Source organism: Homo sapiens, chromosome 10 (assembly GCF_000001405.40).
Source record: "Homo sapiens chromosome 10, GRCh38.p14 Primary Assembly".
In the NCBI taxonomy this organism is placed as follows: domain Eukaryota; kingdom Metazoa; phylum Chordata; class Mammalia; order Primates; family Hominidae; genus Homo; species Homo sapiens.
In genome coordinates this window covers 19,804,874-19,817,985 of record NC_000010.11, presented here as the reverse complement: position 1 = coordinate 19,817,985, position 13,112 = coordinate 19,804,874, and the positions used below count along the sequence as shown (strand labels likewise).

Here is a 13,112-nt window from a genome sequence, read left to right as displayed (position 1 = left end):
GCTCGGCGATAGCCCCCGGGGCGCAACTCCCCGCAGGACGCGCACCTGCCAGGACAGCCACTAAGAGGATGCGGAGGTTGGGGGCCCTCTCGGGGACAAAATCAGGGCACTCCAAGGAACTCTCTGCGCGTTCAGGCCTGTCTGTGAAGCTGGCAGGCGGAGGACAATGGGAGCAGGGGTAGGTCTCCAGAGGCGAGCCCGCCTCCACCTTTCCCACCTGCTCCCCACCTCTGCGCCGGCCGCATTTACCCCGCCCCCCTTCCAGCGCCCGCTTGGCCCAGGTCACTAGACGGAGCTAGTGGGGATCGCCAGGGGAAGGAAGGTGCTGCCACAGGGAATTTTCTCGTGCAGAGGGGAGACCTGCAATCCCTGGCTTTCACAACGTCCCCCACCCACCCCATACCACACACGCTTAGTTTAACCAGCAGCGAGGAAGGAGGAGGAGCCGGAGAGCACACAGCCTGGAGATGCCAGGTCCTAGGAGATGTATCCACGGAAGAAGCTTTGCTCTCACACTGAAGCCCTCCCTGGGCTACTTTGGGGAGACAGTACCACCCCCTGCCGCCCAGGTGAAGTAAGCCCGAAAGCCTCAAGAAAACCCCTAGTCCCCGGCGTCCTTCTCTTGATAACCCTCTTTCCCCATTTGGGAAGCCTAAGTTTAGCCGAAAAGCAACTGCAATAAGTTTCCCAAGGGCAGATAGGTGATGTTGGGGGGAGAGGGTAGGGAGCACGAGAGTGCCAGAGAGGTCTTCAGCTGCGCACAAAATCAGCAAGCTAAAGTGCATCTTACTTACCAAGGATTTGGTCTCCGGGTTTCCCATCGGCGAACTGAAACTGGTCCGTGAAGAAGTGGCAAAGTAACATAACTCCTGCAGCGGCCAGGTCGGCCTTCGGGAACCTCGCCATGCCGCCGCCGCCACCTCCCTACCCCACCCGCCAGTCCTTCGCCGGTGCTCGGGGGCTCCCGATGCAATAGGCACGACCGGGCCAAACGCTGCGGATCGGTCTCGGTAGGACCCGGAGGCCTTTGTAAATGTCGCTGCGATTTCACAGTAGGGAACCGAGAAGAGGAAGAAGCGAACGCGAGTAGGAGCGCAGCGCTCTTCGGACCTCTGAGGCTCTCTTTGCAACTTGCCACACTCGCAGCCCTCACCCGACACTGAACAACAACCGCGGGGAGGAGAGGCCACTTGCAGCCGAGGCTCGCAAACTGTCGGTTCCACTCGGGCAGCGCCAACCCGGTGCCCGCGGACGGTGACTTCCGAGCCCCAGCGATGCGCTCCACTGGGTTCAAAACAGATCTAATTCCACAGCCAGCGCCGCTGCCTGCCCCAGATCCACTAGGGCTGGTCGGCTCTGCAGGAACTTTCCTCTGTCTAGGGATGGCCCCGGCAGGAGGTTTAGGTTTGCGGGAAGGAGGTTGATGACGAAACCCTCCCGACAAGTTTTGCTTCTTTTCTTCGCCCGACGCAGGGCGCGCGTCCTTTCTCGCAGCCGGAGGAATGGGCAGCTCCAAAGAGCTGAGCCCTGGGAAGGTTAGGGCTGCAGCAGTCTGAGGTCCGAAGCCAGGAAAAAAATGTGTTTAAAAAAAAAAAAAAAAAAGAGGAAGAAGAAAGGAAAAGGGTGGAGTGGGAGGGAGTCACGCTGGAACCTATCGGGAGAGGGTTCCTCCGGGCTCAGGAGGAGGTGGCCCCAAGCCCCCGCGGAGCCCCAGGAGTTTGGTGGCGGAGGAGGCGCTGCCGTCGCCACGCTCCCCCGCGCTCCTTCTCCACACTTTGAGGAGGGAAGGCAGCTCGCAATTTGCCAGATCTGCCGCCGCACCCTCCTCCCTCCTCCCTCCGCCCTCCCCTTCGCTCCTCCAGGCTTCTCCCACCTTCCTCCCTGAAACCGGCAGCCCGCACAGACCTGTCCAATGGCTGCACTTTCCTCGGGGCTGGCTGAGGAGTCGCGGCCAACAGATTAAGCCGGGGGAGCCTAGCGAAGGGGAGGGAGAGGGCCACTCCAGCCCCGTGCGCCCCAGGCAGCCGGCTGCCCCAGAGCGCGGGGAGAGGGGACAGGCCGGGGAGCTATCGGGGGAGCGCGGGGCGGTACCTCCGCGCCGCCGGGGCGCCATCCTCGCAGCCTGCTCGCACGCCCTGGGCAGCTCCGCCAACTGCGCCCCACACCCACCTGGCTCCCGGGCCGCCTTCGCGCCCGACTGCGGGGGGCGATCGCGCCCCGCCCCGACCCTGGCGGGGTCTCCCTGGGCACGAAAGGGTTAACCACAGCTCGCCCCTTCGCGGAGGCTGGTTCTGGTAGTGGCTAGGGAGTGGAGAAAGCAAACCAGAGCCGGTTCGGTTACCGACTCTGCGAAGCCCCCTCGACCCCAGCCCAGCGCGGGAGGGTGGCGGAAGGTGGTGCACCGCAGCGTGGTCCCCGCCGCTGCCGCCGCGGCTTTGCAAAGTGTCAGCGGGGGCGAAAGCGAGAGTTTAAAGGAACAGGAGGCCCATTGAATTTCCTACCGGAGCTTTCAGGGGCTCTGGCTCCCCAGTTTGTTTTTGTTTTTTCAGCTCGGGGATCTGTTTCCGCGTTAACCCTTGCCGGCCCTCTCGTTAGTTGATATCTTATTTTGCATACAGTTAATCATTTTTGAAAGGGATAAATACAAGGAAAAGAAGCAAAGCGCTATTGGTTAAAAGTACAGGATCTAGAGCCCGGACAGCCTGGGCTGGAATTTCACCTCCCCCGCAATGAGCAGTTTATCTCCTAGCCTCAGTTATCCATCCATCAAATGGAGAGAATTAGAGTAACGCCCTTATAAGGTGGTTGCAATGGATTGGATGAGTTAACTGTATATTTAATAAATATAGAACATTGCCTACCGCAAAGTACATGGCTTTGTTTAAGTGTTTACTGAAGCAAAAGTGAGAGAAGACGACTTCAATCACATAATAAATGTGCATGTGTTCTAAGTTCAAGGTCCTTTCCACTCCAAGCTCTGAAGAGTCTATGGATGCTGTCAATAGATGTCTCGGCTTGCCACAAAACCCACTGGAAGTGGATCCGGATAATCAATCTACCTTTGCAAATGTGATGCTCAAAGGACGGCTCTCTCATGGGAAACAAGAAAGGTTTCCCTTAATCCAATACTCAATTTGCTCTTTATTTCCAAACAACAGATATACACGTATAAACACAAACATATATCATGCCTATACTCTTTATTATGCCAGGACCCTGGCTCTTTCCTGAGCTTTCCTCCCATAGGTTGATTTCTACTTAGGTAACTGGGTTTTTCTATTTCTGCTTAACTAGGAGTGTTTAAGTTCTATGTAATATTACATCCGAATTTGAGTACCCGGATATATACCTGCTTAAAATCAAGTTTGAAAACTGAGTCTTCTCATCAAAACCTGATTGTGCGGTTGACCCTTGAACAACAGGGGTTTGAACTGCGAGGATCCGCTTTTGCATGGATTTTCTTCCTCCTCTGCCACCCCTAACAGAGCAAGACTAACCCCTCCTCTTCCTCCGCTTCAGCCCACTCAATGTGAAGACGATGAGGATGAAAGCCTTTCTGATGATCCACTTCCACTTAATAAACAGTAAGTATATTTATCTTCCTTATGATTTTCTTAACATTTTCTTTTCTCTAGCTTACTTTATTTTAAGAATACAGTATGTAATATGTAGAACATACCAAATATGTGTTAATCAACTGTTTTTATATTATCAGTAATGCTTCTAATCAACAGTAGGGTATTAGCAGTTAAGTTTATGAGGAGTCGAAATTATACATTAATTTTCTACTGTGTGGGGGTCCGTCCCCCTGACCCCCATACTGTTCAAGGGTCAACTATAGTTTAATTGATGCCGATTCTTTTTGAGGATCATAAATCCATGCGGAAAGCGTCCCAAAATATTCTGCACAACTCCAGCTCCCATCATATCTAAAATAATGGGGAATCCAGCGGAAACCATTTCAAGAAAGCACCTCTTTTTTCAGACCGAGTTATTTCTCCTTCTTTCACAGTAGAAAAATAGGTGTTTCCTCCTCTGAGAACAAGCAAATCTCCACCTCTCCTTGCTATCATTTTCTTTCTTTTTTCCTTTATTATTTTATGTGCGTATTCGCAGGGTTCATTTTTCTTGTTACTTGCGGTCATCAATGCTTTGACCACCTGATTGAAACTATATACTTTTTGTAAGTAGAAATTTGATGTCAAAATTTGAAAGGGGGTAAATGGTCATTCAGGGTCAGTCAGGAAGGACTTTTATATGTTTGGTTATGTCACTGATGCTGCTGAATTGTATTGGTTTACTCCTATCTTAATTTTATTCTGAAGAGCTATACACATAGTAAATGCGGAAGTAAGGGAGAAGATACAAGTAAGCAAAACTCAATCATGCTTGATGAGATTTGCTGTTCAGAAATAAAGAAGAAAGAGCAACATTGTATAACAATAAACTCAAGCTCTGATCATTTGCCTTAAATGTTGATGAATGATTATTTTTTTAAAGTATATTCTGCCTTTACACTGTAGCAAGGAACGAATAAATAAAATGTATGTAGGACAGTATGTTCAGAGTGAAATGGAAAAAGTAGATTACTCATAATTCTGGCTAAACTAGGGTATTTTGTGGCCTAAATTATTTGGGTTTGCCATACACATTTCACCACAGTAGAAGTGTCTCTTTCCATTTTGTAGTAACAAAGTAAGTATTTGTGGAAGATGTTACATCTTCCATCTGACATGAGGGAGAGACGTAGTAACGGCTGTTTGTATTCACTATAGACATAGGAAAGGAATTGGTGGTTCTTTCACCTACTCTTAATTTTAGCTAATCTCTCAAGGAACAAATGAATCAGGAACCACAAATGAATAGCACTTAGATTCTTTGTCCATGACAAAGATCTGGAATTCATACGACACTCTCTCCTTTAAAATAATATATCAGAATCATTCTCAACAACATAGAACTTTGGGCAAAGATTAGCATGTGAGCTATCACTGTGTGGATTTCAAACCTGTTTACAACCCTTATCTCTACCAATCTTCAGAGAGATTTTTACACACTCCAAGTGCAATACTATCTATAGAAATGTACTTACAATTAATCACCTCGTATCATCTCTGTCTTTAACAATGTTGTGTTTCCTAGGACCTGTCCAAAATTGGAACTTGGCTAACAGGATGCTGAAGAAAACAGCATGCTCACTTGGAAATGAGATTCTATACATGCTGTAGAATACTTGGCATTTATTATAATCTTTTCTTAACTATTCAGGAAATAGTTTTTGTCCATTTTAACAGGATTTGTTAAAACTTTCTACAATTGCTGTCAGATAAAGGGAAATTGCTATTAGTGAAATGCTTTTATTCAGTCCAAATATTATGACCTTTCCTCTAGGTCTCAGCATTTCCTCTCCCTCCTCATTTGGTAAGGCTAATTTTTTGACCTCTGGTATGCAATTACAAGACTCATTTGTTCGTCTTGGCTGATCTGCTCTCAGAATAAACTGTAATTCTATTGTACTGTTGATGGATATTCCAGCTTTTTGTTCTTTATAGTTTTAAGGTGAAAATTTTATCAATTATGTGTTTGAATTGAATAAACATCTTTTTAAAACTCACTTAACAGCTAACATAACTCTTTTTAACTGGAGCATTTAACATACAAGAATACTTTATGCCTTTTAGCCTCATATCAATACTACATGTACTATCTAGATGAAATTAACAATATAGGCACATTCATAATGAAACAATATCCTGCATTAAAATGGCATACATCTTTATAGCCTCCTTTCTGAATCTTAATGAGCTAAAGTGGTTTTGACCAGTAAATAGCAAAGCATAAAAATGTGTAACTCAAAATGTAGAAAAGATATTAATAAGATGGAACACTATATTATCAAAAGGGGGTAGGAGCATTATGTTACATTTATTTTTAAATGGCAACATTGTATCATAGAAACTTAGACCATATTCCTAAATTGTACTCAAAGATAGGTTAAATTCCTGCATTTTGCAAATAAAGGAAAATGGGCAAGTGCTCAGCAAGCACTTAGTGAATTGAAAAATGAAATAAATGTGTTAAAGAATATGCTGTACAATGCAGAGTGATGGGGCACATGGAAAAGTTCTCAAGCGATTATTGCTTTGGACACAGTTGTCAGCCTTATAGCCTATCCACATTTTGCTGGTGGAAATATCTAAACTGCAGGAAATTTGACTCTCAAATATCAGCCCCAGGAGAAATTGTGTTTCTGCAGAGCCCCTAGTGGAGGCTGTTACTCCTGGCACAGGCTTCTTGTGTTGGAGGCAGGACTGCTCTGATTCACATAGGCACCACCACTGCCAGTGTCCACCAAAATGACTTGTACTGAATTTCCTTTCCTCATCTTGCATTCATCCTGTTTTCATTTGCCCTAAATTTCCAGTCTTTTTATTTCCATCTCTACAAAATTTTTATTGAGATATAATTTATGTAGCTTAAGATTCACCTTTTTAAAGTGTACATAATTCAGTGGTTTTTAATATGCCCACAAGATGGTAAAATCAAGACTACCATCTAATTCCAGAACATGTCATCACTCCAAAAAGAAACCCCATACCCATTAACAATCACTGCCCATTCCCCTTTCTCCTCAGCCCCTGGCAAACACTAATCTACTTTCTGTCTCTGGGAATTTGTTCCTCCTGGAGAGCTCACATAAATGGAATCATACAGTATACGGCCTTTTGTGGCTGATTTCTTTTGCTTAGCATAATGTTTTCAAATTCACCCATGCTGTTGACTGTATCTGTACTTCGTTCCTTTTTATTTCCAATATTCCATTGAATTATATTATGGATAAAAGATTAAGTCCATCAGTTATTGGACATTTGGGTTGTTCCCACTTTTTGCCTATTATGAATAACGTGACTTTAAAAATCTATGCACAATTTGTGTGAACATATGAGCAGTATGGTGACACTATAATTAACTTTGTGAGAAAATGACAAACTGTTTTCCACAGTGGTTGCACCTTTTTACTTTCCTAACAATGCATGAGGGTTCAAATTTCTCCTCATCTTTGCAAATACTTGTTTTTCATTGAAAAAAAAACTACAGTGATCCCAGTTGGTGTGAAGTGGTATGACATTCTGGTTTTTATTTGCATTTCCCTGACGACTATTGATGGTAAGCATCTTTTCTTGGGCTTATTGAGCATTCATGTATCTTCTCTGGAAAAGATTCTCTCTAAACCCTTTCTCATTTTTAATTCGACTGTGTTTTTATTGTTGAGTTGTATGAATTCTCAACATAGTCTGGATGTTGGGCTCTTAAAGTATGTAGGATTTGCAAACATTTTCTGAAAGAAATGACATAATATGGGTTGTCTTTTCGCTTTCTTGATAGTGTTCTTTGATGCACGTTGTTTTTTATTTTGATAAAGCAAGATGTATATATTTTTCTTTGGTTACTTCTACTATAGGTGTCATGTATAAGAAACTCATGCCTAATCCAAGGTTGATTTATGCCTATATTTTCTCCTAAGAATTTTATAGTTTCATTTTCATATTTAGTTCTTTGGTCCATTTATGTAAATTTTTGTATAAAATGTGAGGAAGGGGACAAAAATTATTCTTTTGCATATGGACATACAATTGTCTCAGCCACTTGTTGAAAAGATTGTTACTGCATTGAATGATCTTGACATCATTGTTGAAAATCAGTTGGCCATAGACATATAGGTTTATTTCTGGACTCCCAATTCTATCCCATTAATATATATGTCTCTCCTTATACTACACTGTTTTGGTTACTGTAGCTTTTTGGTAAGAGTTGAAATAAGGAAGTGTGAGTCCTCTTGCTATGTTCTGTTTATCAAGATTGATTTAGCTAGTCTGAATCCTTTGCATTTTCATATAAAGTTTAGAATTCGCTTGTCCATTTCTCCAAAAGAGGCTGTTGGAATTTTGATTGGGATTTAATTGAACCTCTAGATTAATTTTGGGACTGTTGCCATCTTGACAATATGAAGTCTTCCAATCCATGAATGTGAGATGTCTTTCTATTAATTTTCCTCTTCTTTAATTTATTTCAATATTGTTATGTAGTTTTGTAGCTTCAATGTACTAGCATTGCACTTGTTTTGTTATATTTATTTCTAAGTATTTTATTCTTTTTGATGCTGTTATAAATGAAATCGTTTTCTTAATTACATTTGTAGATTTCGAATGGTTCTCATATTAGTTTGCTAGGGCTGCCACGACAAAACACCACTGACTGAGTGGTGTAAACACTCACATTTCTGGAGGCTAAGAGTCCCAGATCAGGGTGCCAGCAGTTTTGGTTTCTTCAGAGGCCTTACTTCTTGGCTTGTAAATGCTCATGTTCTCACATGATCATTTCTCTGTGTACACATCTTCCTTTTTATTCAAATTTTCTTTTACCATAAGGTCAGCAGTGAGATTGGATTAGGAACCACCATAATGGCCTCATTTTAACTTGAACACCTCTTTTAATGCTCAATTCCCAATTACAGGCACATTTTCGGGTTCTGAGAGTTAGGCCTTTAACATATGAGTTTGGAGGGGCACAAAATCCAGCATATACCAGTTAATAGATAGGAGTACAACTTATTTTTTGTTTATTAATCTTGCAAACTTGCCAATTGATTGGGATTTAATTGAACCTCTAGATTAATTTTGGGACTGTTGCCATCTTGACAATATGAAGTCTTCCAATCCATGAATGTGAGATATCCCCACATTCCCAATGCATTTATTATATCTAATAGTTTTTTACAGGTGTGAGAATTTCTTAGGGGTTTTTTTTAGGTATAAGATCTTCAAATATCTTTTTCTTTTGTCTTCCTTTCCCATATAGATAGATGCCTTTTGTTATATTTTCTTACCAAATTACCCTGGTTAGAACCTCTGGTACAATGTTAAATGGAAGTGTTGACAGTAGTTGTCTTGTTCTTGATGCTATAGGGAAAGCTTTAACTCTTTCACCATTAAACATGACATTAGCTGTGGAGTTTTCACTGATGCCCTTTATCAGGTTGAGCAAGATTCCTCCCATTCCTAGTTTATGAGTATATTTATCATGAGTGGGTGTTGGATTTTGCCAATTTTTTTTTCTGCATCAACTAATAAGATTGTGCATTTGTTTCTTTTATTCTATTGGTATGGCATATTACTTGGATAGATTTTGATGTGTTGAACCAATCTTATATACTCAAGAGAAATTCTACTTGGTCATGGGATATGGTCCTTTTTCTCAGATACTAAATTCAGCTTTCTAGCATTTTAAAAAAATTCTGCATCCATATATGTAAGGGGCATTAGTTTTTATTTGTCTTTTCTTGTGAGGTCTTTGCCAGGTTTTGGTATCAGGGTAATACTACCCTCATTAGAATGAGTTAGGAAGTGTTCCTTCTTCTTTACCTTTTGGAAACATTTGGAAAATATGTGTTAATTTATCTTTAATCTTTTAGTAGAATTCACCAGTGAAGCCATCTGGGTATGATTTTTTGTGTGTGTGGAAATTTTTTCTTTATTAATCTACTGTTTCTCTTTTTTATCAGTCTTGTCAGATTTTCTATTACTGTTTGAGCCTGTTTCGATATTTTCTTTGTCAGGAATTTTCCATTTGTTATCTAATTTATTAGTATACAATTGTGTATAATATTCTCATATAACAATTTTTATTTCTGTATGGTTGGTAGTAATGTCCACTTTTTCGTTTCTGATAACTTGGGTGTTCTGTCTTTTTTCTTGGTAAATTGAAGTAAAGCTTTGTCAATGTTGTTGATCAAAAACGAAGAGTTTTGTTGACATTCTTGATTGTTTTTCTATTCTCATTCTCTATTTCTTTTATTTCCACAATAATCTTTCTTGTTTACCGCCTATTTGCTTTAGGTTAGCTTACGTTTTTTTCTAGTTTCTTAAGGTGGAAAGTCAGGTCATTAATTTTAGATCTATTCTTTTTAAATGTAGGCATTTGTAGCTATAATTTTCTCTCTGAATACTGTTTTTGCTGCATCCCAAGTTTTGATATATTGTGTTTTTATTTCACTAATCTCAAAATATTTTCTAATTTCCCTTGTGATTTCTTCTTTTATCCATCAGTCATTTAGGAATGTGTTGTTTAATATCTATGCATCAGAGAATATCCCAAATTTTCTATATTATTGATTTCTAACTTTATTTCATTTTGGTCTGAGAACATATTTTGTAAGATGTCAAACCTTTTACATTTATTGAGACTTGCTGTATTGACTAATACATAGTCTCTTTTGGAGAACATTCAGTGAGCACTTGAGAAGAATATATTCTGTTGTTTCACAGATGTTCTACAGAAGTCCACAGACATAGAGAATGTTCTGCAGATGTCTCTGGTCTAGACGGTTTATAGGTTTGCACAAGTCTTCAGCAGTATGTTTAATTTTGTGTTTACTTGTTCTAACCACTATTTAATGTCTTCAACTATTATTTTTAACTGTCTTTTTATCTTTTCAATTCTTTCAGTTTGTCTTTATGTCTTTTATGCTCCATTGTTAACTGCATATATGTTTATAATTGTTATATCTTCTCAGAAGATTGACTCATAATTATAAAAAGTTCTTTTGATCTCTGGTAACAAGTTTTGTTTTAAAATCTTTTATTGTCAAATATTAGTATGGACTCTCCAGCTCTCTTGGTTACTCTTTAGATGGTATATGTTTTCCTATTCTTTTAATTTTTTTTGTGTGTCATTGAATCTAAATTTTGTCTCTTAGAGTTAGCATATAGATAAACTTTGTTTTAAAAAAATATATTATGCAATATCTTCCTGTTAATTGGAAAGTTTAATCCATTTAAATGTAATATAATTACTGATAAGGTAAGTATCATATTTGCAATTTTGTTATTGTTTTCTTTTTTTGTTGTTGTTTTTTGATGGAGTCTTTCACTCTATCACCCAGGCTGGAGTGCAGTGGCACCATCTTGGCTCACTGCAACCTCCATCTTCCAGGTTCAAGTGATCTCCTGCCTCTGCCTCCCAAGTAGCTGTGATTACAGATGTATGCCACCACACCCAGATGATTTTTGTGTTTTTAGTAGAGACAGGGTTTCACCATGTTGGCCAGGCTGGTCTTGAACTCCTGAACTCAGGTGATCCACCCGCCTCAGCGTCCCAAAGTGCTGGGATTACAGGTGTGAGCCATCATGCCCGACCAATTTTCTGTATGTATTTTTCCCCATTATTTCTGACTTATTTTGTGTTTAACAGATATATCTTCTAGCATACCATTTTAATTCTTGTGTTATTTCTTTTCTTTTATATTTTATTTTCCTAGCAGTTGTCCTGTGGATTATAATTAGTATCTTAATTTATAATGATCTAATTTTAATTAATACAAAATTAATTTCAATAGCATACAAAAATGTTGCTCCTATGTAGCTTTGTTATCCCCCCCATACTGTTTTTAGCATAAATTACATGTTTATACATTGTGCACCCATCAACATAGATTTATAATATTGCTTTACACAGTTGTCTTTTAAAGTCAGCAGAAAAAATTACAAAAAAATAAACTTATACTGTCTTTTATGTTTATGTATGTAGTTGTTTTTACTGGTGCTTTTTAGAAAAAAAAAGAAAATTCATGTGAATTAGCATTACTATCTAGTATTCTTTCATTTTAGCCTGAGAACTTCTTTTAGTATTTCTTGTTGGGCAGGTTTTCCAATGATGAACTCCTTTGGTTTTTGTTTCTCTGGGAATGTTTTATCTTCACCTTTATTTTTGAAAAGTAGTTTTGCCTGCTATAGAATTCTTGGTTGATGAAGTTTTGTTTCGTTTCGTTTTCTAGCACTTTGAAAATATCATTTCAATGCCTTCTGGTCTCCAAGATTTCTGATGAGAAATTAAATATCAGTCTTATCGAGAATTCTGTTTATGTGATGAACCATTTCTCTCTTGGTACTTTCAAGATTCTTTCTTTTCCTTCAACAGCTTATTATGATATATCTAGATGTGGATTTCTTTGATTTTTTTTCGTGGTTGGAGTTTGTTGAGTTTCTTGGATATGTAACTTAATCATTTTCATCAAATATAATAAATTTTTCCAACTACTCCCTCAGATTTTTTTTCTGCCTCTTCTTTTGTCCTCTCATTCTGGAATTCTATTTTGCATCCATCGGTGCACTCAATGTCGTCCCACCATTCTCTGACAGCTGTTCATTTTTCCTTAATTTTTTCTTCTTTTTATCTCTCAGACAAAATAATCTCAGTTGACTGTATTGAAGTTTACTGATTCTTTCTTCTGACTGTTCAGATATTCTGGTGAACCCCTCTAGTAAATTTTTCATTTCAGTTATTATATTTTTCAACCCAGAATTTCTTTTTGGTTCATTTTTATAATTCCATTTATGAGCATGAATTCTCATGCTTTAAAAAAACTTATTTATGCATGGTTTATTGCAGGTTTTTGAAAATATTTGAAATAGTTTGTTTAAATTTTTGTCTAGTGAAACCAACATGAGCTTCTTCAGAGATAGTCTCTATTGACTGAATTTTTCCCTGTGCATGAGCCAAATATTCTTACTTTTTTTTTTGCATGTCTCATAATTTTTTGTTGGAAACTGGACATTTTAAACAATACAGTGTGACAACTTTATAAATCAGATTCTCTCCCCTCACCAGGTTTCATTGTTATGGCTGCTTGATATGGCCACTGTTGTTTACCTAGTAAATTTTCTGAACCAGTTTCATGAAGTCTGTATTCTTTGTTACATGTGGTCTCCTAAGTCTCTATTTGGTTAGCCAAGGGGTCAGCTAATGGTTACACAGAAGTTTCCACACACACACAAAAAAAATGGATTGAAAAATTATTTCAGTCTATTGCAAAGGGCTCTGTGTGCTTGTTGGGGTTAGCCTTTAACACTCAGCCTGGCAGTCCACAAATCTGCTTTAAGCCTTCACTTTCTGTTGACAGTCAGCCAGAAGTGAGTCCTTACAGCCTTATAAGGTCTTTCTGTAGCCTTATGCATGCATGTGGCCTTCTACAGTCCAGAAATACATTGTAGCTTCTCAAAACTCACCTAGGTATCTCATTCTTCAGTTTCTCCTTTTAAGCTTTTTGGTTAGTC

The 13,112-nt window shown here is 39.8% G+C and overlaps 1 protein-coding gene and 1 long non-coding RNA gene across 4 annotated transcripts in view, besides 1 other annotated feature; one reads left to right on the top strand and one right to left on the bottom strand.

Annotated features, from left to right (window-relative positions):
* PLXDC2 (plexin domain containing 2) overlaps positions 1–1,554 on the bottom strand; it is a 473,425-nt gene extending 471,871 nt beyond the window's left edge. For all 3 annotated transcript variants that reach the window (NM_032812.9, NM_001282736.2, XM_011519750.3), the window contains exon 1: positions 795–1,554. In NM_032812.9, the coding sequence (NP_116201.7) occupies positions 795–906 (112 nt within the window). In that variant the 5' untranslated portion in view covers positions 907–1,554. The remainder of the gene's footprint in view (positions 1–794) is intronic.
* Positions 1,555–1,757: 203 nt separating this feature from the next.
* Positions 1,758–5,614, top strand: LOC124902388 (uncharacterized). Its single transcript, XR_007062078.1, has 2 exons — positions 1,758–3,584; positions 5,143–5,614. It is a non-coding gene; the product is annotated as an uncharacterized LOC124902388 (long non-coding RNA).
* Positions 1,865–2,630: an enhancer, noted in NCBI's record as "H3K27ac hESC enhancer chr10:20104285-20105050 (GRCh37/hg19 assembly coordinates)". NCBI's record gives its function as "activates a minimal SCP1, AML or CMV promoter by ChIP-STARR-seq in naive and primed H9 embryonic stem cells {active_cell/tissue: H9 hESC(naive and primed)}" and the evidence as "EXISTENCE:reporter gene assay evidence [ECO:0000049][PMID:30033119]".
* Positions 5,615–13,112: the final 7,498 nt, after the last annotated feature.